The 26,407-nt window shown below is 38.3% G+C and overlaps 1 long non-coding RNA gene across 1 annotated transcript in view; it reads left to right on the forward strand.

Moving 5' to 3' along the window:
* The window catches only part of LINC03104 (long intergenic non-protein coding RNA 3104), a 38,368-nt gene extending 12,526 nt beyond the window's left edge, over positions 1-25,842 (forward strand). The window contains exons 2-3 of the long non-coding RNA NR_170984.1: positions 19,661-19,825; positions 23,857-25,842. This is a non-coding gene — a long non-coding RNA (long intergenic non-protein coding RNA 3104). The remainder of the gene's footprint in view (positions 1-19,660; positions 19,826-23,856) is intronic.
* Positions 25,843-26,407: the final 565 nt, after the last annotated feature.

Raw genomic sequence — 26,407 nt, forward strand, 5'->3', positions numbered from 1 at the left:
TGAATCTACTCATCCTTAAAGGTACATTTGCTTCCAGGTAGTATGTTTGTGAGTAATGCTACAGTGTACATAAATGTGCATATATCTATTCCATGTTCTGCTTTGCCTGTTTGGGATATTTTTCACACACTGATTTAGTACCATGTGTATTCCCTTGCTTTTGTTGTCTGATTCGTTGATGTTACATCCCCCAAATTATTGCCGAGACCAATTGTCATGAAGCTTCACCCTTCTGTATTGTGCTAGGAATTTTACAGCTATAGATTTTACATTATAGTCTTCATATTTTAAAATTGACACATGTAATTGTACAAATTTTGGGGAAACAATTATGTATATATGTTGTATAGCAATAAAAATCAGAGTACTTAGTGTAATTATTGCCTCATACATTTGTTATTTTTGTGGTGAGAACATTCAAAAGCTTCTTCTCTAGCTATTTTTTTATATCTTTATATATTAACTTTTTTTAGAGACAGGATCTTGCTCTAACACACAGATTGGAGTGCAGTGGTGCAATCCTAGCTCACTGTAACCTCAAACAATCTTCTAACCTCAGCTTCCCAATTAGCTGAGACTACAGGAACCTGCCTCCATGCCTGGATAATGTTTTAATTTTTCATAGAGACAGGGTCACACTATGTTGTCCAGGCTCATCTTGAACTTCTGACATCAAGTGATTCTCCTACCTCATTCTCCCAAAATGTATGGATGGCAGGAATGTGCCACCACAACTGGTCTCTTTTAGCTATTTTGTAATTTGAGATAACTTTTCATTAATTATTATTATTCTGCTGTGTAACAAAAAACAAAAACTTATTTCTCCTATCTAATTGTAACACAATACTTTTGAAGCTGCCTTTTCCCATCTCCCTGCTTCAGTCTCTGGGAACCCCTGTTGTACTCTTTGCTTATATCAACCCTTTTTTTCAGGTTCCTCAAATGAGTGAGATAATAAGATCATAAAGTATTTGTGTTTCTCTATGTGGCTTATTTTACTTAACATGGTATGCTCAAGGTTCATCCATGCTCTTTTAACTGACAGAATTTTATCCTTTCTTATAGCTGAATAGTATTTCACTGTGCATATATAGTACATTTTCCTTATCCATTTATCTGTTGCTGTACATTTGAATTGATTCCATATATAAGCTATTATAACTAGTTCTGTAACTAACATGGAAATGCAAATATCTTTTTGACACAGTGATATCCTTTCTTTTGTATATACATGCAGGAGTAAAATTGCTGGATCATGTAATACATCTATTTTTAATTTCTTTCAGAAACCTCCATAGTATTTTCTATAGTGGCCATACTAATTTACAATTCCACCAACAATGTATACATTCACTCATTTTATATCCTCATTAGTACTTGTTTTATTTATTTATTTATTTTTATTATAGCCATTCTAAATGGGAGTGAGGCGGTACCTCATTGTGGTTTGGATTTTCATTTCCTTAGTGATTAGTAATGTAGAACATATTTTTATGTTCCAGTTAGCCATTTTTGTATCACTTTTTGACAAACATCTATTAAGATCTTTTGCATTTTTTTAATTAGATTATAAGTGTATTTTATTTTGAGATTTTAAAGTTTCTTATTTATTCTGAATATTAGCCTTTTGTCATATGTATAGCCTGAAAGCATTTTCTTTTATTGCCTAAGCTGTCTCTTCAATCTTTTAGTTTTTTTAATATGGAAAAGCATTTTAGTTTGACATAATGTTGTTTGCTTATTTTTGATTTTGTTGCCTATGTTTTGACATGTTATTTTAATAATCCTTTCCCCGTCGAATGTTATAAAGCATTTTTTAGTTTTTCTCTAATAGTTTCATAATTGATAGCATTACATTTAAGTCTTTAGTTTGAATTGATTTTCATATATGGCAAGGCACAGGGGTCTAGTATAATTTTTCTGAATTTAAATATTTAAATGGCCCTGCATCATTTATTGAAGAAATTAGCTTTTCCCTAAAGTGTGTTCTTGGCAATTTTGTTGACAATCAGTTGGCTTTAGGTGCATAAACTAACTTCTGGGCTTCTTGGGCACATTAGTCTATGTGTTTGTTTTTATGCCAGTACAGTGCTCTTTTGGTTACTATAGCTTTGTAGCAAGTTTTGAAGTTTGATAAAGTGATGCCTTTAGCTTTGCTTATTTTGCTCAAAGTTATTTGTCTATTCAGAGTTTTTTGTGGATCCACATAAATTTAAAATATTTTTTCTATTTCTGTGAAAAAATGTCATTGATATTTTGATAAAAATATTACCTCCCACAGGGTCCCTCCCAGGACATGTGGGGATTATTACAATTTAAGATGAGATTTGATTGGGGACACAGAGCCAAACCCTGTCAATTACTTAAATCCAGGAGTTCGACACTACCCCGGGCAATATTGTGACAAGCTATTGGTAAAAAATATTTTCACAGATTACTCAGGCATTGTGGAATGTTCCTGTAGTCTCAGGAAGTTGGAGGCTGACGTAAGATTATTCCTTGAGTTCCCCAGGAACTTGAGGCTGCATTGAGCTATAATCATCGTATTGTATTCCTGTCTGGGTGAGAGAGTAAGACCTCTTTTTAGAATTTCAAATTTATTTTAGATTTAGGAGGTACCTACACAGGTTTTTTACATGGGTATTTTGTATAATGCTGAGGTTTGAAGTATGAGTAATTCCATCAATCAGGTAGTGAGCATAGTACTAAGTAGACAGTTTTTCAGTTCTTGGTCCCTCCCTCTCTCCACCCTCTAAGAGTTGTCTATTATTTTTGTTTTTCTGTCCATGTGTACCCAGTGTTAATTTCCATTTATAAGTGAGAATATGCAGTATTTTCATTTTCCATTTCTGCATTAATTTGCTTTGTATAATGGCCTTTAGTTGTGTTAACGTTGCTGCAAAGGAGGTTTTTTTTGTTTGTTTTTGCTAAGTAGTATTGCTGTACATGTGACACTTTTTAAATTCAATTTACCATCAATAGGCTGGACATGGTGGCTGATGCCTGTAATCCCAGTGCTGTGGGAGGCCAAGGCGGGTGGATCATGAGGTCAGGAGATCGAGACCATCCTGGACAACGTAATGAAACCCCGTATGTACTGGAAATACAAAAGTTAGCCAGGCTTGGTGGCATGCGCCTATAGTCCCAGCTACTCGGGTGGCTGAGGAAGGAGAATTGCTTGAACCTGGGAGGTGGAGATTGTAGTGAGCTGAGATCGTGCCACTGCACTCCAGCCTGGGCAACAGAGTGAGACGTCATCTCAAAAAAATAAAAAATTACCATGAATAGGCACGTAGGTTGATTCAGGTCCTTCCTCTTATGAATAGTGTAGTGATGAACCAACAAGTGCATGTGCTATTTTGGTAGAATAGTTTATTCTCTTTTGGGTATATACCCAGCGGTGAAATTGCTGGGTTGAATCACAGTTTAACTCTCAGTTATTTGGAAAATCTCCAAGCTGTTCTCCACAGTGGCTGAACTAATTTACATTCCTATTAACAGTGTATAAGTGGTTTTTTCCCTCTAAAACCCCATCAACATCTATTATCATTTTACTTTTTAACAAAAACCATTCTAACTGGTGTACAATGGTGTCTTATTGTGGTTTTTATTTACATTTCCTTGATGGTTAGTGATGATAAGCTTTTTTCATGTTATTTGGCCACTTGTATGTGTTCTTTTGAAGAGTGTCTGTTATTGCCCACTTTTTCATGGGGTAATTTTTTCCTTGTGAATTCTTTAAGTTTCTTATAGATTCTGAGTATTAGATTTTGTCAGGTTCATAGGTTATGAATATTTTTGCCATTCTGCTAGCTTTGGGGTAAGTTAGTTTTTATTTTTCTAGTTTCTCTAAGTGTGATGTTAAATTGTTAGTTTGAGATCATTCTAACTTCTTGATGCAGGTATTTAGCACTCTCAACTTTCCTCTTAACAGAGCTCTTCCTACAACCCAGACATTTTGTTATATTGTGTCTCTTCTATTTCAAAATCTTTTTAATTTTCTGCCTTAATTTTTTTGTTTATCCAAAATTCATTCAGGAGCAAGTTGTTTAATTTCAATATCATTCTGTGATTTTGTGAGATTTTCTTGGTATTGATTTTTATCTTTGTTCCATTGTGGCCTGTCATATTCTGTGAGCAGATGAGAAGAATTTACTTTCTTTAGATGATGTGTTGCATATACTATAAATGTCTATTAGTTTCAATTGATCAAGTGTCGAATCAAACTCCAGAATTTCTTTGTTAAGTTTCTGCCTAGATAATCTGTCAAACACTTAGTGGGGAGTTGCATTCCCCTACTATTATTGTGTGTCTACTTGAGGCTTATTGTAGTTCTAGCAGTAATTGTTGTATAACTCTATGTTCCCCAAAGTTGGGTGCATCTACATTTACGATAGTTAAGTCTTCTTGTTGAATTGAACCCTTTATCGTTACGCAATACCTTTCTTTGTTTTATTTTACTATTAATGATTTAAAGCTATTTTTTCTTAAAAGAGAAACAATTCCAGGTATGGTAGCTTGTGCCAGCACTTTCAGACTGAAGCAGTCGGATTGCCTGAGACCAGGAGTTTGAGACCAGCCGAGGCAACACAGCAACATACTGTTTGTACAAATTTTTTTAAAGAAACTATACAGGAGGGGTAATGTGCACAACTGTGGTCATATTTACTCAGGAGACATAGGTGGCATGACTGCTTGACTTCCGAAATTTGAGGTTACAGTGAGCTGTGATTCCACCAGTGTACTCTGTCCCAGGAGATAAAGTAAGATCCTCTGCATAAAATGAAAAAGTAAAGAAAAATAAAAAGATTTTAAGTTAAAAAAATAATTCCTAGATCTCCACTTCTTTAGGTTCACTTGAATATATATTTTTCTCCTTTGATTAGGTTATATTTCCTGGTTGCTTTTACTTACTGTAGTTTTGTTAAGGTTTTGATCAATTAAGAAACCACTACCTATTTTATCCTTTATGAAAGAGCTTTATACATGGGAAAATTGACAACATTCAGCCACAGTAGTCATACTGGGAGCTTCTCCAATCTGTTGTCAAAATGTGTCTTCTTTGGACTACTGTATGTATTTTCTTGTTAATAAGGTTTACCTCTGTTTCCTCTTAGGAGCCTTTAGTCTCTTCCCTTCGTCACTGTTGTAGGCACTACAGTCTCTGTTGTTGTAAGAAGCATTTATCTTTATTCTCAGTTGACCCAAGCTGTCATTTAAACTCAGTCTCTATTCTCATCAACACTAAATGTTAAAGGAAGCAATTTCCAGTCTTTAGATAACCCCGGTATAACTCAGTAAGTCAGAAGTTTGCATACGCATTTCACTCTTTTTTCTTTCCCAAAGGAGAATCATGGAATGGACAGATTTTTATCTAACTGCGCTGTTCTGTAGTGCACAAATGTGACCAAATTTTCTTCTAAATGTGGTTATGGTTGGCTTTTTTCTCATGTGGGGTGCTACAAACTCAACTGGCTTTGTTCGCCCAATTGTAGTTAAGTTCATATGTCAATGGAGAGAAACAGGATCTCAGGTTCTGCTTCAACTGTCATTGTCTTCTCAGCTGACCTCATTTTGTACATTAGATTTATAAAATATATTTACTTTAATCTCATCACCGAATTTTTAAAAAAATTATTATTTTTCAGCTCTTTTAGCAATATATCCAATCAAGACCCAGAGAAAACAGTACATAGAAGCTTCTTTTCAAAAAGTAATATTGGGAAGATATGGGAGCTCTGGCCTTGAACTTTTACACTTAGGAGAGTGGGAAATTGAAGGATAAGTGTAAACGGCACAAAGTATGCTATGATGAATATACCAGATACACAGCAATTACCTACAGCAAAAATGTCACTGCTAGAAGAGCTCAAAACCATAAAGTATTTTGGAAAAAGCATAATTAATGTTGATTCTTTTTTCTGAACTATATATTTATATAATTACATACCAATAACAATTTTTGAAACATATCATGTTTTTGAAACAAAATTTAGAAAATCGCAATAGTGGCCTAGGCCAGGAATATTTCTTCTAATGCTATCCCTCCCATAGTCCCCCACTTCCCGACAGGCTCCAGTGTGTGATGTTCCCCTTCCTGTGTCCGTGTGTTCTCTTTGTTTAACTCCCTATTATGAGTGAGAACATGCGATGTTAGCTTTTCTACTCTTGTGTTAGTTTGCTGAGAATGGTGGTTTCCAGCTTCATCCATGTCCCTGCAAAGGACATGAACTCATCCTTTTTATGACTGCATCGTATTCCATGATGTGGACATGCCAAGTTTTCTTTATTCAGTCTATCATTGATGGTCATTTGGTTTGTTTCAAAGTTTTTGCTCTTGTGAACAGTGCCATAATAAACATACGTATGCATGTATCTTTATAATAGAATAATTTATAATCCTTTGGGTATATACCCAGTAATGTGATTGCTGGGTCAAATGGTATTTCTCATTGTGGATCCTTGAGGAATCACCACACTGTCTTCCACACTGGTTGAACTAATTTACACTCTCACCAACAGTGTATAAGTCTTCCTATTTTTCCACATCCTTTGTTGTTTCCTGATTTTTTTAATGATCACCATTCTAACAGGTGTGGGATGGTTTCTCATTGTGTTTTTGATTTGCATGTGTCTAATAACCAGTGATGATGTCCTTTTCTTCATTTGTTTATTGGCTGCATAAATGTCTCCTTTTGAGAAGTGTCTGTTCAAATCCTTTGCCCATTTTCGATGTTGTTGTTTCTTTTTTTCTTGTAAATTTGTTTAAGTTCTTTGTAGATTCTACATATCAGCCCATTGTCAGACGGATAGATTGCAGAAATTTTCTCCCATTCTTTAGGTTGCCTGTTCACTCTGATATAGTTTTTTTTGTTGTGCAGAAGCTCTTTAGTTTAATTATATCTCGTTTGTCAATTTTGGCTTTTGTTGCCATTGTTTTTGGTGTTGTAGTCATGAAGTCTTTGCCCATGCCTATGTCCTGAATGGTACTGCCTTGGTTTTCTTCTGGGGTTTTTATGGTTTTAAGTCTTATGTTTAAGTCTTTAATCCATCTTCAGTTATGTTTTGTATAACGAGTAAGGAAGAAGTCCAGTTTCAGTTTTTTGCATATGGCTAGCTAGTTTTCCAACACCATTTATTAAATAGGGAATCCTTTCCCCATTACTTGTTTTTGTCAGGTTCATCAAAGATCAGATGATTCTAGATGTTGAGTGTTATTTCTGAGGCCTCTGTTCTGTTCCATTTGTCAATATATCTGTTTTGGTACGAGTACCATCCTGTCTTGGTTACTGTGGCCTTTTAGTATAGTTTGAAGACAGCTAGCATGATGCCTCCACCTTTGTTCTTTTTGCTTAGTATTGTCTTGTCTATGCAAGACCTTTTTTGATTCCATATGAAATTTGAAGTAGTTTTTTTTCTAATTCTGTGAAGAAAGTCAATGGGAGCTTGATGGGGATAGCAATGAATTTATAAATTACTTTGGGCAATATGGCCATTTTCATAATATTGATTCTTCCTATCCATGAGCATGGATTGTTTTCGTTTGTTTGTGTCCTCTTTCATTTCCTTGAGCAGTGGTTTGTAGTTCTCCTTGAAGTGGTCCTTTACATCATTTTTAAGTTGGATTCCTAGGTATTTTATTCCCTTTGTAGCAATTGTGAATGAGAGTTAACACATGATTTGGCTCTCTGTTTGCCTATTATTGCGTATAGGAATGCTTGTGATTTTTGAACATTGATTTTGTATCCTGAGACTTTGCTGAAGTTGCTTATCAGTTTAAGGAAATTTTGGGCTGAGATGGTAGGGTTTTCTAGATATACAATCATGTCATCTGCAAACAAAGACAATTTGACTTCTTCTCTTCCTATCTGAATACGCTTTATTTCTTTCTTTCTTTTGCTGATTGCCAGAACTTCCAATACTATAATGAATAGGAGTGGGGAGAAAGGGTGTTCTTGTCTTGTGCAGGTTTTCAAAGGGAATGCTTCCAGTTTTTGCCCATTCAGTATGATATTAGCTGTGCATTTGTCATAAATAACTCTTATTATGTTGAGATAGGTTCCATCAATACATAATTCATTGAGAGTTTTTACCATGAAGAGGTGTGGAATTTTATTGAAGGCCTTTTTTGCATCTATTGAGATAATCATGTGGTTTTTGTCATTAGTTCTGTTTATGTGATGGATTTTATTTATTGATTTGCATATGTTGAACCAGCTTTGTATCCCAGGGATTAAGCTGACTAGATCGTGGTGGATAAGCTTTTTGATGTGCTGCTGGATTCGGTTTGCCAGTATTTTATTGAGGATTTTCGCATCGATATTCATCAGGGATATGGGCCTGAAATTTTCTTTTTCTGGTGTGTCTTTGCCAGGTTTTGGTTTCAGGATGATGCTGGCCACATAAAATGAATTAGGGAGGAGTACCTCTTTTTCTATTGTTTGAAATAATTTCAGAAGGAATGGTACCAGCTCCTCTTTGTACCTTTGGTAGAATTCGGCTGTGAATCCGTCTGGTCCTGGACTTCTTTTTGTTGGTAGGCTACTAATTACTGCCTCAATTTTAGAACTTGTTATTGGCCTATTCAAGGATTCGACTTCCTACTGGTTTGCACTTGGGAGGGTATATGTGTCCAGGAATTTATCCATTTCATCTAGATTTTCTAGTTAATTTGCAAAGAGGTATTTATAATATTCTGTAATGATACTTTTTATTTCTGTGGGATCAACGGTTATATCCCCTTTATCATTTCCTATTGCATGTATTTGATTCTTTTCTTCCTTATTAGTCTGGCTAGAAGTTTATTTATTTTCTTGATCTTTTAAAAAAACCAGCTCCTGGATTCATTGATTTTTTGGACGGGCTTTTTGTGTCTCTATCTCCTTCAGTTCTGCTCTGATCTTAAATCTTGTCTTCTGCTAGTTTTTGAATTTGTTTGCTCTTGCTTCCCTAGTTTTTTTAATTGTGATGTTACGGTGTCGATTTTAGACATTTTTCTGCTTTCTCTTGTGGGGATTTAGTGCTGTAAATTTCCCTTTCAGACTACTTTAGCTGTGTCGTATTTTACTTTTTAAGCCCTCAATCTTCCTTTTTCATCGTGATAGTCTTTACTGTTTTATGTTTATGTAATGTAAAATTGACTACACAATTTTTACAAAGATTTTATGAAAATATTTTATTGAGAATGTACAAACCGTCAGTCAATTAGAGGAGAAGTTACACTGTCATAATAAATAGCCACAAAGCAAAACGCCAAAAGACATCCAAATCAGAATAAAACAAAACATTTTAACAAAAACAAAAAGAACAAACTGGCAACAAATATGTGAAGTTTATATTACAAAGATGCTCACTTATCCACTCTAAAGAGAGCTTTTAGAATTTGATTTAAAATACGGCAAAGACATTATCCCACACTTCACAGAAAAAATAAATTTAAGCAGCTGTTAACACATGAATGTATTATCAAGCTCAGATATAATCAAAATTAAATATTTGACAAGAGATTCTACAGTTTGGGAGAAATAGAAGTGTTTTTTTCTTTTCCCCAGGCCCACAAGTCTAGTTTCTTGTTCTTCTTCACTATAATGGGGTTTGTCATCAGCTCCCCAAAATATGGGAAGCACAGAGCAGGTGGTGGCTGAAGGTGGGGTATCCTGTGAAACCATATTTAAGATCAGAGCCCTTGGTCCATTGTGTTGTAATCAGCTGGCTCAGGAAAGAACACCTGGCTGTCCAGAGCTCTACACCTACTGCACTGGGTGTGAAAGGAGGCCTGAGAACCCATGGGTCCCAAACCCACCCCACTCCAAATTATCATCCAGTATTGAGAACTCTGACACCAAATTCTCACAGAGCATATGTTTATGCAGTTTTACATTTAATTTCTCATTACATTACAATTGGGAAACTGAGGCCCCAGAAGAGGCAGAGACTGGTCCAGATCTCAGGAGGTGGGCAGGCTCCAGAGCATTAGAGAGGGCTCCAGCTTCCTAGGCCTTGGCACCGTCCCACTTATCAGGTTTGTTTTCGAAATTAGAGTCTGTAGCTACACATTCAGGAGCACAGAAAATGAGCAGATTCAGGGTTCTGTTCACATGGGGTCCTCTCCATGTCAGTTTCAAGATAACAGGACTGGGGTTCTGCATCCAGCTCTGAGGGCAACTGGAAGTAAAATGAGCTATGCTCCACCTCAGCCTAATGTAGACAGTGCCTACAGGAAAGCTTGTTTTCTTCCTCATAAATAGGGGTGCCTGAAGTGGGTGACCTTGATGATTTCACATACTCATAAGTGTCTGCCAGCCTGGATTCTTGCTCTGAGACTGCAAAAATGCACCCACTCTGCAGATCCTTCAAATCAGAGGGAGGCATGGCCACTTGAGAGGCATCTTGGGTAGATGAAGATGAGACAGAGTTAAATGTGCCAGAGCACTGGACTCTGAGGCTGAGGTCCACGGAAAATCTCAGCTACTGTTGCGTTCTTAAGGTCCTCATTTGAAAGTGGTAGAAAATAATTTCACTGGATAAGGGGAGGATACCTCATGAGTAAATAGCACAACCAAAAAGGTGGAGGCAAAGAGAGGGCAAAACGGGATTCCTAGTTCACTCATTATACTTGGGGCCTTCAGATCCTGCTACTTTATCCCCTAGGACCTTGAAGAACCAGTGTCTTGAGGACAGAAAAATCAAGGTATCAGATTTGTTCAGTAGTGCTCCTGCTTGGGGCTGTAGGGTTAGTGATGGCCAGGAGGTGGTTACAGCCTACTGTGTTTCTGGTGCCCACTGAGCTTTGCTGGAGCAGCTGGAACAAGTAACAGTCACACACCTCATGTTGTTATCAGTGATGTCCACATTATCAGGTGGTCAAAAGGGGAAGGGATATTAGGGATCCCCCATATAATCACTTAGCCAGTCTTTTTTCCCTTGCGCTCACCATTTGCCAGCGACCCTGGTGGGTCCAACATGTGGTACAGAAAATTATTACTTCATGTCTGCACCCCCCAACCCAGGACCAAACAATCTGAGGACCGCTGGACAAAAGCACTAAAGCAAGTATATGTGAAAGAAAAGAGCAAGGACTATAATATAAAGTAGATTATTGAGAAGAAAACCTGGAAAATTATTGCATGGGAGGACCTCAGGCCTCACTGAGGTGACTTTTAATCCATGATGAGGATGACAGCAGGGAGGCATCTGCACAAGCATGTGTCAGGGAGAAGCCACCCTTAGTGAAAAAACTCATAGGTGTGAGTTTGGCAGAGGTAAAAAGGGACTAGTTTGGCTGCAGACAGCCTGAGAAAGAGATAAGCAGAGGGATGGAGAATCCTAGGGCCTGGGAGATGAGGTTAGATATCTGCTCCTTTCTGACAACATTGCCCTAAAAGTCAGCACTTTTCAACAACATATAATATCTCATAATGTGTGTGGACCAGAATCTGGACACAGCTCAGCTGGCTACCTCTGCCTTCAGGTCTTTTATGAGACTGGGGGCTGTGGTCTTAACTGAAGCTGGACTGGGAAAGCATGAGCCTTTAAGCTGACTCATGTGAAAATTGACAGGGTTTAGTGTGGCTGGAGAGCCTGACTTTCCTTCTCTCTACTCGTCTGAGCACCCTCTCACCCTTTGTTATGTGGGTCTCTACATGGAGCATCTCATAGCATTGGAGCTTGCTTCCTGTGTTTGAGGAATACAATAGACAGAATTAGACAAAAAGGTTTACACAAAAAGAGACAGAAAGATCGAGGGCGCAAACGAGAAAAACCCAGTAGGAGAAAAATTAGAGCTTTAAAAACATCTTGACAGGGTGCGGTGGCTCACACCTGTAATCCCAGCACTTTGGGATGCTGAGACGTGTGGATCGCCTGAGGTCAAGGGTTTGAAACCAACCTGGACAACATGGTGAAACCACCGTCTCTTCTAAAAATACAAAATGAGCTAGATGTGGTGGCGCATGCCTGTAATCCCAGCTACTTGGGAGACTGAGGCAGGAGAATCAATTGAACCTGGGAGGCAAAGGTTCCAATAAGCCGAGATCACACCACTGCACTCCAGCCTGGGATACAAGAGTGAAACTGTGTCTCAAAAAAAAAAAAAAAAAAAAAAAAAAAGAAAGAAAGAAAGAAAGAAAAAAAACTTGAGAGTTACTATAATTTTTCTTCTATATTTGTGTTAAAATTGTAACCCCGGGCGTAATGCTATAAGGAGGTAGAATGTAATTAAACCCTTAGGGTGGGACCCTCATAATACAGATTACTGGCTTTATACAAGAAACCGCAGAGGGCTCTCATCCTCCTGCAAAATGAGGGTAAAACCTGAAGTGTGCAGGCTGAAATTCAGAAGCCAGTCATCACCAGATCTCAACCATGCTGACACCCTGATCTCAAATTTGAACCTCTGGAGGTATGAGAAATTAAGTCCTGTTGTCTATATGCTGCCTATCTATGGTTCTTTGGCATAGCAGCCTGAACTAATACAAAAGTGATATCCTTTTCTGTGTTTCATTGGAGAGAAGCTGAATTTGTACCCCCTATACTGTTAAAAAAAAAGACTTAAAAAATGGATCTTCAGAATGAAAGATAGGAAACGGCTTGTTGAAACACTAAAAATTTAACTGCTATAAGTTTTTTAAACATTGGCTGAAATTGTTGGAACCAATATTGCCAACTGAAGTCCATGAAGCATCACTTTGCAGACTTTGGAGCCCAAATTTCCATTGTGTGCTTCATACTAACTCTCCCTGAATTTGTATGTGACCTGTGAGGAAACAAGAAGAGATGACTGTATATGTCTCATGACTTTCCATATTCCTACTTTCCTTCCAGCAATCCCCTACAGAACCCACCTATTAGGCCTTTTCTAATCACTGCCTTAAAGCCAGTATGACAAAACAAATTTGATTTGAACTCCTATCTCCTTGTTAGCCAACATACAAGATGATATTTTCCTCAAAACCGAAGGGCCATAGTACTGGCATCAGGAAGTATTCCATTTTATTCAATAAAAAACTGAGTCACTCAATACCTAGTACTGGGAGACTTTGTGAAGACTTCCTCTGTCATAGACGTGATAAGGCACATGGATATGATTCTAAATATAAAGAGAAAGCACTAGAAAGTTGAATTCCTGTATTAGATCATTCTCATACTGCAATGATGGAGTACCTGAGACTGGGTAACTTATAAAGTAAAGAAGTTTAATTGACTCACATTTCCACATAATTGTGGGGGCACCTCAGAAACCTTCCAATTACAGTGGCTGACAAGTGAAGTGAGTGAGAGCATGGGATGTACCAGATGCTTATGAAACTATCAGATCTCGTGAGAACTCACTATCACAAGAACAGCATGAGGAGAACCCGTCCCCATAATCCAATCATCTCCCCTCAGGTTTTCCCTTAACACCTAGGGGTTATAATACACAATGAGTTTTGGGTGGGGACGCACAGCTAAACTATATGAATGCCAGAGGACAGTATCTACATTTAATTTCAACTTCATACTGGAGCAGAATGAAAATGAGGCCCAGTGGAGAAGTGATATTTCCAAGATCACCCTGGCAGACACCAGGCCTGTTTGAGTTGTGGCCCATGCTACCTCCCACCTATTCTCCTAATGCTTCCATCTCTAAGTGTATGCATTATCTACAGGTGACACTACATCATTATTTTTATGTCTTATCTTATATACACCTAATACATTCCCTAGGAAGTAGATGTTAGCATCATCACCAGTGTGCATGTTAGGAGGCTGGGGAAGCCTTGAATACAGTGACTTTTACTGGGTCCCAGAGATGGTAAGAAAAACAAGGTTATGTTCCAGCTGTCTCTTCTATCCTGGAACCCAGGTTGCATTTAGGTCTTTCCAGGGAATTAAGGGGAAGTTGTGTTTGCATAATTGTGTACAAATAAAGAGTTGACATGGAAGAGGAGACTGAGCAATCAGTAGCATAGTGGGGCCTTTCGGTATGTCTTACAGAAACATGGGGCCCAGTAGATGGAACCTTGAAGAGTTTAACATACTTTCTTGGTGTCAGAACCCAACAGCAGTTAAGAAACCAGGAATCCACATTCTTGAGACAGCTCTGTATCCACCTCTGTTTGTGAGAGTTGCTCAAGAGAGTGAGATGCTCTTTCATTGTGCCCTGAAATTTCTGAGTTTCAGCCTTACAAAGGCTCAATGTAAAAGTCTTATCTGATAACACAGATGTCAACTGAGCCCTCATCACTGATGTCCCTGGCTTTTGGCCGGGTGCACCTACAAATAACACAGGGCAGCCCAGGACAGGCCCCTCCACGCCAGCCTCTCTTGTCAACTCATCTGGGCAGTCCCACACCACTTCTTAGTACCATGAGTTGGATGGGGAGCAAGAGGGAGGGCACTCTTCTTGGACTGAAGTAGATTGTCGGGTGTTGGAACTCTTGTGTACCTGTCATGTTCATACCTAGGCCATAGCTGGCAGAATAAAAAGAAGAGGGTTGGAGAACGAGTCTGTGTACTCAGATGTGAATTCCAAGACTTTAACTTGTCCTCTGGTTTCCTTCCTTCATGGAGATTTATACAGATTCTCCTTATGTGCCTAATCTGAAGAGAAGAATTTCTTTTATTTTCTTTTTTCTTTTTTCCTTTCTTCTTTTCTTTTTTCCTTTCTTCTTTTCTCTTTTCTTTTCTTTCTCTTTCTTTCTTTCTTCTTTCTTTTTTTTTTCTTTCTCTTTCTTTCTTTCCATCTCTCTCTTTCTTTCTTTCCTTCTCTCTCTCTTTCTTTTTTATTTATCATGAAGTCTCACTCTGTTACCCAGGCTGGAGTGCAGAGAAAAGCAGAATTTCTAATGGAGGTGTCACATACGGTCAAAGCAAGGAAGAACACAGACTTTTCTTTGCGTGGTTTCTAGGCACATTTACAAAGCTGCATTCAGATTGATGAGGAGCTTCATCATTCAGTTTAATGTGGCCAACTCCTCCCTCTTTTTGGAAAAAGAGCAGGTGCACTAAACCAGCAAACACAGCCAGCACTGGGCTGTGCTGAGAGCAGCCACATAGGGGTCTCTACAGACAGAAAGCTGAGAAGACAGGGAAAGAAACAGGACCCAGACTCAAATATGAAAAATCTCTGGGCTTTGTCCTACGGCCTTCCCATGAGTAACTCATAGCCTTGTTCCAGTGGAATCTGGCCTTCACTAGTCTCAGTGGCAAGTTGGTTATGTGGAAAGTCTCTCTTCACACACTTGTGCGAATAACGGTAAAGAATTTTGTATAGTTTTCACTTTACATTAGGCCATGAGTATTTATGCCTGTGGCTGCAGTTTGTGTTAGTTTCCGGCCCCACGTATCTCCTGCAGCATGCAGCTTCAGTCCTATCGGACCCTCAAAACTTAAAAGCTAACACTATTACTAGGGAGGATTTCGCAGGAAAATGGAGAAAGGGTTACACACAAAAAAGGTTAAACTACTCTATGCATGTTTCTGCAATGTGTTATCTCAGGAACTCATTTCTGTAGCCCATCAGGGCAGGAGCTGGGCTCTCACCTGTTGATAATATTCCATAAGGGAGGTTCTTCCCCACAGTGTTTAGTCTCCCGACGCTGGTACAGCCTGACATGATGACATTCTACTTTCATGTCGGTCATGCTGCAGGGAAAATTCTGAGTGTTCTAATAGGCTGGAATCATTTGCTAGGGTGAACCCCATCTTTGGTTCTCACTTTTCTGTTATCTTGTAATTAGCTTTATTCTCAGCAAATCCATGTCTATTTTATTTATCTGTTTATTTACTTATTTTTATGTATGGAAAAACACTTTTTTTTATTTACTTATTTATTTAGAGACAGGTCTCCGTCTGTTACCCAAGCTGGAGTACTGTGGTAGAGTGCTGTGATCATGGCTCATTGCAGCTTCAAACTCTTGGGCTCAAATGATTCTCTCACCTCAGCCTCCTGTGCCACCATGCCCTGCTAGTTGATTTTAATTTTTTATAAAGAAGGAGACTCATTAGGCTGCCCAGGCTGGTCTCAAACTCCTGGGCCCAAGCAATTCTCTCATCTCAGCCTCCCAAAGCACTGGGATTAAAAACATGAGCCACTGTACTGAGCTGTGCCTACTTCAAAAGACTGAAAATAAAAAATCAATAAATCTTTGCCAAATTAAAAAACAAAACAATAGTTTCCAGGTCTTAGACAAAGACAATTCTGTGTCATGAAGAGTGGCAAAAGGCTTATTTAGCTGTTAAAATGATTTGCTTATATTTCAAAGAAGCAGAGAAAAAAAGATACATATAAAAGTTTTCCAGGCCAGGCACGGCTGTTCATGCCTGTAATCCCAACATTTGGGGAGGCCAAGGCAGGAGGATCTCTTGAAGCCAAATGTTTGAGTCCAGTACAGGCAACATGGTGAAATTCTGTCACCATAAAAAAATAAATAAAATAAATATGGCTGGACATGGTGGTTCACGCTTGTAATACCAGCACTTTGGGAGTCGGAGGCAGGTGGATAATGAGGTCAGGGGTTCGAGACCAGCCTGGCCAAAATGGTGAAACCCTTTCTCTCCTAAAAATAATAACAATAAAAAATTAGCCAGGCATGGTGCTGTGCGCCTGTAATGCCAGCTACTCAAAAGGTTGAAGCAAGAGAATTGCTTGAACTTGGGAGGCGGAGGTTGCATTGAGCTAAGATCATGCCACTACACTCTAGCCTGGCCCACAGAGCAAGACACTGTCTTGAAAAAATAAATAAATAAATAAATAAATAAATAAATAAATAAATAAAAAGTTAGCTAGGCCTGGAGGTGCATGCCTATAGTCCTAGGTAATTAAGAGGTTGAGGCAGGAGGACTGCTCAAACCCAAGAAGTTAAGGTTATAGTGAGCTATGATTATGCCATTGCACTTCAGACTAAGCAAAAGAGTAAGATTCCATTTCAAAAAATTACTAAAAAAAGTTCTCTAAATTACATTGTTTAAGAAAAGGGAAAAGAAAAAATATCTTTTTTAATTTTCAAATGGGAGAATAGAGCCTCTCATTTCTAATATGTATTTCCTTCTGCAAAAACATGGTCTAGGCCCATGGTCTTGAACTACTGGACATCTGAATTTTAGTAGGTGCTGGATTCAGGCAACTGAGGGGTGGCTTGGACACACTAAGTGCACGTAAATAAAAGGTTTGAGGTGAACTAAAAGGTAAAAGAGGGGAAGGTGCTATTAAGAACCCACAGTTGGGAGACAGTACAGGGTTGGTGGAAGGACTGGTTCATGCTACAGATACTGACCCAGGTGAAACTTTACTCTGACTTATTTCTGTGTCCATGCAGGAAGACGAGATTATGATCAGGTGGCACAGAAACCTGGGATGGTGAAAAAACCAGGTTGCCCCTGCAGATTCGGTGTCTGAGGTAGAACGTATGCCAGGGGTCTTGTAGGCACATGTGTGGGTTTTTGGTGGGAAAGTCTATGAGGAAAGGTAGCATGGGCAACAATCTTGATGCCAAAGCCTTGTCCTGAGAGGGGCTTGGCCACATCAACATGCAGTGTGTATGTTCAGTGGGTGAAAAACCTGTGGTGGCCTCAGGTTGGCAGGAGGGTAGAAGGCATCTGTTCTCAGAACTTCTTCCCTCAGAGTCGTCGGTCCTTCTTACCATGGGAGAATGCCTGGAACCACAGGGCAGTGCATGGTGTAGCAGCCTGTGTGCAGAGCAGAGCCTACCTTCCCCGAGACACCTGGAGTCTCTCTCCAGCAGAGGCCCCCACATTGTCTTTCTCCTTACAACACTTTTGATCCTAAATGTGTAAAGTTCCCTGAAAACCCACTGCTTCTCCAACACCCATTTGTTGCCCCAAAATTTAATTCTGACACAACTTAGAGTTCACACAGATCCCAGAAATTCAGGGCTCAGTCCCACATCACCCCTCTCACTGTAGAGGAGAGTTACACATCCCTGAAGCCCATCTACACTTCTGAGCTACCTCCTATAAATCTGAGACTAGCATAAACCCCTTTTCAAGTTAAATAATTTGATAGAATTACTAAAAAGAAAACCTCAACAAATAACTGTAATTATATTTACTACTTTATTATAAAAATATAACTCAGAAACAGCCAAATGGAAGAGATGTCTAGGGCAAGGAACAGTTGTGGGTGAAGGCAATCCTGGAAATAGCTATATTTAAAGAAATTCCCCCATTCTTTGCATTCTCAAAGAACAGCTTAGTGAAGAGAAACGTGCTTCCCCTGATGACTTTGAGGATGCTCCCTGCTGTTTTTTTAACCTATCACAAAAATGGACACAGATTGCAAATTCCCATTTTTAAAAATGAACAACCATTCAGTAATTTAGTCTTCAGTGGTCCAAATAACATACTCTTAAAGAAACTTTGCTTGTTTCTCTTCTTCCAACCAGCCCCTGAACTTTGACTCACCCACAGCTTCAGCAAACCTACAACCCTTATTTATACATACCCCTCCTAAGAACAGGCTGAGTTCAAGGTGAAACATTATCTTATCTGGGATCGCATTTTGCTACCCTCCATCGTGTGCTTCCTTTCCAACCTTCTTTGTAAACTTGTTTTCTCCTCCCTATGAAATAAGGCCCTTTTCCACCTAACCTTAGAGATACTCAAAGATCTAATCATTTGTACTTTTTCTTTGTTGCAATACTTCTTAGGTAACTTCTTAGACCAAGTCTAGAAACAGTCTGAGGACAATAACAATTCCATTCTAAAAAGAATCTCCCAACATTTCTTCTATCTCAACCTCAACTGCATCTGCCTGTGAACTTCCAGCTTACCAAGGCTCTATATCTTCTGGCAGTGACAAAGGCTCCTTCCATGGTTGGTGTGAGTAGGCTTGGACACCTGCAGGGCAGACACCCAGGAATAATCAACTGGGCCTTCAGTGGTCCTCTTTTGCAGGGTCAAGGTGGGCCTTAGCTTTTAGTCAATGGTCTAAGACTTCTATTTACCAGTTAGTCATTCAGTTAGTTTTCAATTCAAAAAATACTTCATGTTTGAAGAATCCAGCAAAAATTATTCAAATCTAAGATATAAAAGAGAGGAAATTACAGCCGGGCATGGTGACTCATGCCTGTAATCCCTACATTTTGGGAGGCCTAGGCGGGCAGATGACCTGAGATCAGGAGTTTGAGACCAGCCTGACCAACATGAAGAAACCCCGTCTCTGCTAAAAATACAAAATTATCCAGGTGTGGTGTTGTATGCCTGTAATCCCAGCTACTCGGGAGGCCGAGGCAGGAGAATCGCTTGAACCCAGGAGTTGGAGGTTACAGTGAGCAGATGTCTTGCCATTGCACTCCAGCCTGGGCAAGAAGAGTGAAACTACATCTAAAAAATAACAGAATAAAATAAAATAAAAACATTATAAGGGGCTTATATCTTATAATTCATCAAGAAAAGCCAAAGTATCTATCCCTTTCAGAAAATAAACATGTAATTTAATTATGTTCAAAACAAATCATTTAGTAAACAATTAATCATATGTGAACACTTCCAGGAGGTGCAAAGTCCCAGCTCCTAAAACTTAACATTACCCTCAAACACCCAGATGGCAGCATATGGAATAGAGTTATTCACTTTCACAAGTTCTCTCTTTTGAAAAAAAGAATAACTTATGTGATAAATTTATGTAATTTGACAATTAATCTACCTCATGTGCTTGCAGATATGTATTCATTTCCTACCACCGTAGTGGAAGAGAGATTTTCCCTATCTTTACAACTGATAGCATTTCCAACAGTAAGCTGTGAGATTCTGCTTGAAATCACCTCTCAAACAAATAAAAAACAGACCTGGGAGACATGCTACACTCATTCTGCTGAGGAAATAGGTAAGTAACAATTTTTAACAAATGAAATACATTACTACTTAATTTTATTCAAAATTCACCAACTTAATGTGCTTTATAAATATTCTCATACCTTTGAAGCTCTACTGATAAAACATAATTTACAGTTAATGAAAAAGTGAAGTTAAAATAAATACAATCATATTTTCAAGGTGACAAAATTAGAAGGTGACAATGGTGATTGAAACACAGACATATCTGACCCAAGGGTCAAGTCAAGCCGTTCTATTACTTGGGATATTTTCCCTGCTTCTATCTGGTTCAGTGATGTGGGTCATGAGCGTCCTACCAGGAGCTGCTACGCTCTGCTCCACTGTGTCTGTGAGGTGCATTTTACTTTGCAGGTTTTTGCACTGCCTCACTAGGTTGGGTTTCTTTGTCCTTTGAAATATTTTCTCTCCCTTCACCAATCTGAGGACATTTTTTCCTCACTATTCAGCATCCAGTTGCCTGGCATGCAATGTGTCTCTAAGGAATGGAAACTAAGCGTTGGGGTAAGAAATTCTTAATGTCCTAAAGGGTTTGCTTTTAGCGCAAATGTATACGTGGAGATTCCTTCCAGGTATAGTGCATCCAACCACTCCAAAAAGAGGCTGCATTCCCATACCTTGGGCTGTTCCCTGAGAGGAGATGACACAAGGGATGTTATTTACTAGACACTTCAAGAGTCATGGCCAGTGTTGGTATCTTGGGGATTCTCAAACAGTTTTGAAACCCAAAACCAAGAAAATAACACAAGATGGCTGAGGATGTATTGCCCTGTGAGGTTTCTGAAATGAAACCTCAACCCAAAAACATTCTGATGGGGTGTCTGTGCCAAGGGAAGATTAAAGAAAGGGGCACAAATATTTTCTTTTCTTTTCTTTTCTTTTTTTTTACTGTGGATTGTCAGGGGATTATTATCTGCTTTCATGTCCTGTAAAATGTTTACAAATGAAAAATATTTTTTTAAGTGTCATCCACTGCTTTTTGAAAAAATGCAGAATTAAAATACTGTGTCTAAAATGTACAATAAAGAACAGTTGATAATGTTGTGAGTTACACAAGGTTAGTTAGTGTTGGTAAGTGTCAGGAAAGAACTGGAAATTTAAACTCTGACAGCAAGCCAGAGTTAGGCTGGGGTAACAGGGTGGTAGATTTGAGGCTCTTCTTGCCACACATTTGGAAAATGCATGAGAAAACTAATTCTCTTTTGGAGCATTAAAACAACTAAAAAACAGGCAATTGCGTTGAGGTGGCTCTAGTGTCCTGAGCTCTGAGTAGAGAGACAGGCAAAGGCATCCCTAGATCCAAAAAGCTGCCCATTCTTCTCCAGCTGTGCACCTGATTAGATAATTTCCACTCCAGCACCCATGATTGGATATAGTTCAATTCCCCACCAAGCCCCCTCAGGCCATGAGTGACATATGTGATTTGACACTGGATTGAATAAAGCAAGAATTATAAGTTTTTCCTGGATCCTTTTCTGGCAGGGCTTCCTTCATGCACTGGACACTGGCCCTGCCTGTAAAATACTTGCATTTTCATTTGTGTGTAAGATTATTTGTATTTATGAAAAATATATATGTGTTATTCATACATGGAAGCAATATAATGACAATTGTTTTAAAATTTCAGATGTTTTACTTTCCTGGCACATCCAGGTTTTAGAGCAGGCAGCCTGAGATTTCAAAAATGAGGCAATTCTCTAAGAAATAATATGTGAGGCACATGTGAATTTTAAATATTCTAGTAGCTACATTTTAATAAATACACCAGGCATGGTTGCCTGTTCGTGTAGGTTGAACTGTTTGGGAGACTGATGTGGGAGGATCATTTGAGGCAAGGAGTTTGAGACTAGCCCAGGCAGCATAGAGAAAGCCATCTCAACAACAACAACAACAAAATTGAAAAATTAGCCATGCCTGGTGTATGCCTTCAGTCCCAGCTACTCAGAAGGCTGGAGCTGGAGGATCACCTGAGCCTGGGAGGTCAAGGCTGCAGTGAGCCATGATCACACCACTGCACTCCAGCCTCACTGACAGAACAAAACTCTGACTCAAAAAACTGATCTCTGGAAAGGCATTTTCTTTTTCTGCAACGTAGCCAAATAGCTAAATTTGTATTGAAGCCATCCTTTAATTTTTAACAGGGCAAGAATATTTTCTAAGACCCCGAACTCCAGATATGCGATGGGGCAAATCCTGAAGCGTACATGGCTATCTCTCACAGCTAAAGCACCCCTCACCCCTATCCAGCGCTTCTTACCCCTGGCGCAAGAGAGTCACCTGCGGGGAGGAAAACTATCAAAATCCCTTAAACCCAAGTTGTAACCGCACAACTAAATCAGAATCCTTGGAGCTGGATCTGAAAAAAATACGGTTGAAAGTTGTGCAGGTGATTACAATGTGTAGGCAAGCCAGAAAACCATGGCTTTAACGAGCAGCTTTTGTTAGAAATGATTTCTCAAATGAATGTAAAAACGTTTGCTGCTGAATTGTGACCTTTCAATTTTACCTGCTTTTCCTGCAAAGTATATTTTGCAGACCCAGGCTGGCTTGTCCTTCTGTTCATGGTTCACCCAGTGCCGTGTGTGCTCAGTGCATCCTGTGCACGGGTCACTGTGCTGTGTGCGCTGGCCGGGGTGAGCATCATTCTTCGGGGAGAACCTTTCTGAAAACAAAGCTGCAATCCAAAAAGTTAAAACCATGCTACTTACTGTACTGAGGTAAAAATTAAAAGACCTAGGGGACTCTTCCAAAAGTTAAAACGTAAATAAATATCTTGGAACATTAATATACACCTGACGATGTCCTGAGTGAACACGCCCCACTTTAAAACAAAACAAAACATTACTATTATTCTAAAATATTAATTTAGGATTGTTATGCAAATATGTACTATTTAAATATTTATTGATGAATAACATGCATACAGCAATATAGGAACAAAATATTTATGGAATGCTTGATGAATTATTACTAAATAAATACACTTGTGTATGTAAGAATCAGATTTGCTCATGCCCTTGACACTTTCTCCTTCCCAAAGGTAACCAAGACCTTAAGAGCTAAGTGTAGATAAACTTTGTCATTTTCTACACGTGTTTTATTACAGAACATTAAAAACGTATACATAATACAAAAAAAGGATAACAGACCAGTCACCCAGATTTAACAGCTACTAGTCATGTGTCATTTTTGTTTCACCTATACTTCCAGCCATTTCCACCCCAATTTCATTATTTTTTAGCCTTTTTGGATAAAATGTATATTCATTGCAAGGTACAATGTGAACTGTGAATAGTAGAGAGATGGGGTTTCACCATGTTGACCATGCTAGTCTTGAACTCCTGTCCTCAGGTGATCCACCTGCTTCGGCTTCCCAAATTGCTGGGATTACAGGCATAAGCCAATATACTCAGCCTGAGAATTTTTTCATACTTCTAAGAAAGTACAAATCCATAGGGCACATGAGAACTGCAATGTCTATCTACAGTAAATACAGTTTGATAAATAAAATGAAAGGCAATTGACCTAAGGTGAAAAGAAAAACAAAAAACAATCAAAGCATGGGTACTATGTGTCATCTGTAAGAGCATTTGGTTAAGAATAACAAACAAACCAGTTTTATCGTTTTAATAGCCGAAATTGGCAAAATTTCTAGTTTTTCTTTCATAGGAATGCTCTTTGCAAGAAAAAATTTTCATATAGTGAGAGCAAAAATGGCAACCATTTGCAAGTAAATGTCTTATGAAATTAAGTAGCAGATATCAAGCTCATGACCTTCAGATAGTTACCCCTAACTCAATCACTTACATAGCAAGTGCAGATAATTTTCATAGCTCCCTATTAAAATTATATTTGAATGCCCTTACAAATTGTGACTGTTTTTAAATAAAGTTGACCAACTAAAATTTTGTATATGACATATGATAAATTCCCCTTCAAGTCACCTTACATTTACTTAATTTTATTAGGCAGTGTCTGTCTACCACCCAATAATACTTGACGATTCTCCCTCCATTTGCACAGGCATCATAGCTGGGAAACGGATTCACAAGACCCAGGCTGTTCCCTACATATGTTTCCTCCTCCGACATCAGTTCATCAGTCAATCAAGCCATGTGAGAGTGGAGGCCTTGTATTCCCTATTATTCTTGGGCACTCTACTCCAAGTAGGAAAAGGCCAGGAGGTCCTGTTAAAGGATGCACTCAGAGCCCGGGCTCCCTAACATATGAGAGTGCTAACCAGCAGGTGTAGACTTTTCAGGAGTGAAGAATGAGGCAGGCATTCCAAACCTGGACCTTCATCACCTTTTGTTTCATCTCAAGACAATTCTGAGGGACTGTTTTGGAGCGTGTCTGGAAGGTGAACCTTGAAGAAGAGTGTGGGCTTTGATGTGACTCAGTTGAGATCTTTCATGGGGAGGCAGGAATTCAATGCCCAGAATCTGGGCTGGTGTCTTTGAGGTCAGTAGGTTGCGTCTTTGTATCCAAGTCCATTGTTACTAGGTTGGAGGCTGGAGATTCTAAATGGCTTCCAGACCATCTCTCTGATTCTCTTTGGGAGATGGGGTCTGAAAGACAATGTCAGTAGTTTTGGGAAATTCTAGAAAGTGTGCTTGGAAACGTGGGAAGAGCTCTTGCCTAGTGCCTAAATGCTCCATTTGCAGCTCTAGCCAAGTAGATACTTGGTAGGTATAGAGCCGGGTTTGCGTTTATATCAGCAAAACCTATGTCAGAGTTGAAGAAGTAGTCAGGAAAAAGCGTCTTGGTCGCAGGCCGGGGAACATCTTAAAAGCAAACTTCTAGCCTGCTGACTCTTGGCAATGAGTGTTGGATCCTGGCTAAAGTGCCTTGAATGCAGCATGAGGCCAATCCATGAATCCAACTTCTCATGGAGAAATGTTAATATTTTTTCAGTTTGAATCAATCAGGGTGAAACTACCATGCTATTGGTTTGCTTACTTTTTATTATTTCATGTAAAATCTAAGACAAAATACATTAAATGCTTATTGACATATGTATTTATTCTTCACCAGGCTGATAATATCTGCCTAATTTTAAACTTTCTTCCATTTTGTAGGTTTCAACTTATTCTATTGTAAGATACTGTTAAATCTAATAGAGGCATTGTCACTTTTACGTATAATTTTATTTTATTTCATATATTTCCTATTGGCTTTTTACATTTAAATTATGGAGCACTTCATCATATAAAAAACTTCAATTATATTTAAACAGTAAGTCTTTGGATTTTTTTGCCTTGTAATTTCCATATTACATAATAATGAGATAAACATTAATGTTTTCAGGGTACTTTAAATTTTAGATAATTACTCATTGTATTCATGTGAAATTTGTTTTTACTGCATGTGTGGGTTGGAGGACTGTTTTCACTTCTGATTCATCTTTACTCTTATCTCATCAGAGCTCATACCTCTTGTAGTTGGGGGATTGCAGTTTATAATTCCAATAAATGGGGCAAATTCAATAATAACATAATACAAATGAGTTTGAATGCAGGACAGGTCTTCAAAGCATACACAACATGGGCCTACATATGTACAACAATAATAATTTATAAGTTACTGTTTGGATGGAAAGTAAAAGTACAGAAAATTTGTTAAAGGAAATTAAAATGGAGATCATGTCTCAATAATCTCTGAGCAGACAAAATTAGTTAGGTCTCATAAGTGATCTCAACCTCGCTTGATTTGCAAATACAAACAAAACTTAAATTATTTCTTGTAGCTGCATATTGAAAAAAGAGAAATGAAGCTCAACCAGTCAGAAGTAGCCAACAACCTTATATAAATAGAAACTGTCCAACAAGGTAAACAGACAAACAAAAAACAATAAAAAAAGTTGTGCTACCACCAAATGATTTCTTTGTTTCTACATTTTTCAAATAAATACTTGCTTCTTACACTGTCAATGAAGCACTCAATATCTTTCCGTCTGATATTTTATAATTTATCAATTGCTCTTACTCAAATAAACACTTTGCAATTTCATTGTGTCTCAAATTACTTTTTAGCAGAATAAACTAGGAATAAATATTACAAAAATATCTACGGAATATGGAAAAAACATAGAAAGTTTATGAAATATATGAATGTAGACATAAGCAAATAGACAATTTGTATCATATTCTTAGGCAGAAAAACTCAATATTATCAACATCAATTGTCCTTATAGTTATTTATAAATTCAATTTTGTTCCTATACTGATACCATTAAATATTGCAAGTACACGTTACTATAAAATGTTATATAGATGAAAACACAAACAAGAATAGACAAGAAAACTCTGAAAAAAAAAAAAACCACTGGCAAGCCCTGTGTAAAATCTTGATTGATTAAAAAACTCATGGATCACTGAAACTAAAAATTCAGAAATAAACCAAAGTGTCTAAGAAAGTGTCATAGTGCATCTTGGCTGCTATACCAAAATACCTTAGACTGGGTAAAGGATAAATAAGAGAAATGTATTTTTCACAGTTATGGAGTCTGGAAAGTGCAAGATCAAGGCAGCAGCAAATTTCGTATATGGTGAGAGCCCTATTCCCCATAGATGGT

Source organism: Homo sapiens, chromosome 21 (genome assembly GCF_000001405.40).
Source record: "Homo sapiens chromosome 21, GRCh38.p14 Primary Assembly".
Lineage (NCBI taxonomy): Eukaryota > Metazoa > Chordata > Mammalia > Primates > Hominidae > Homo > Homo sapiens.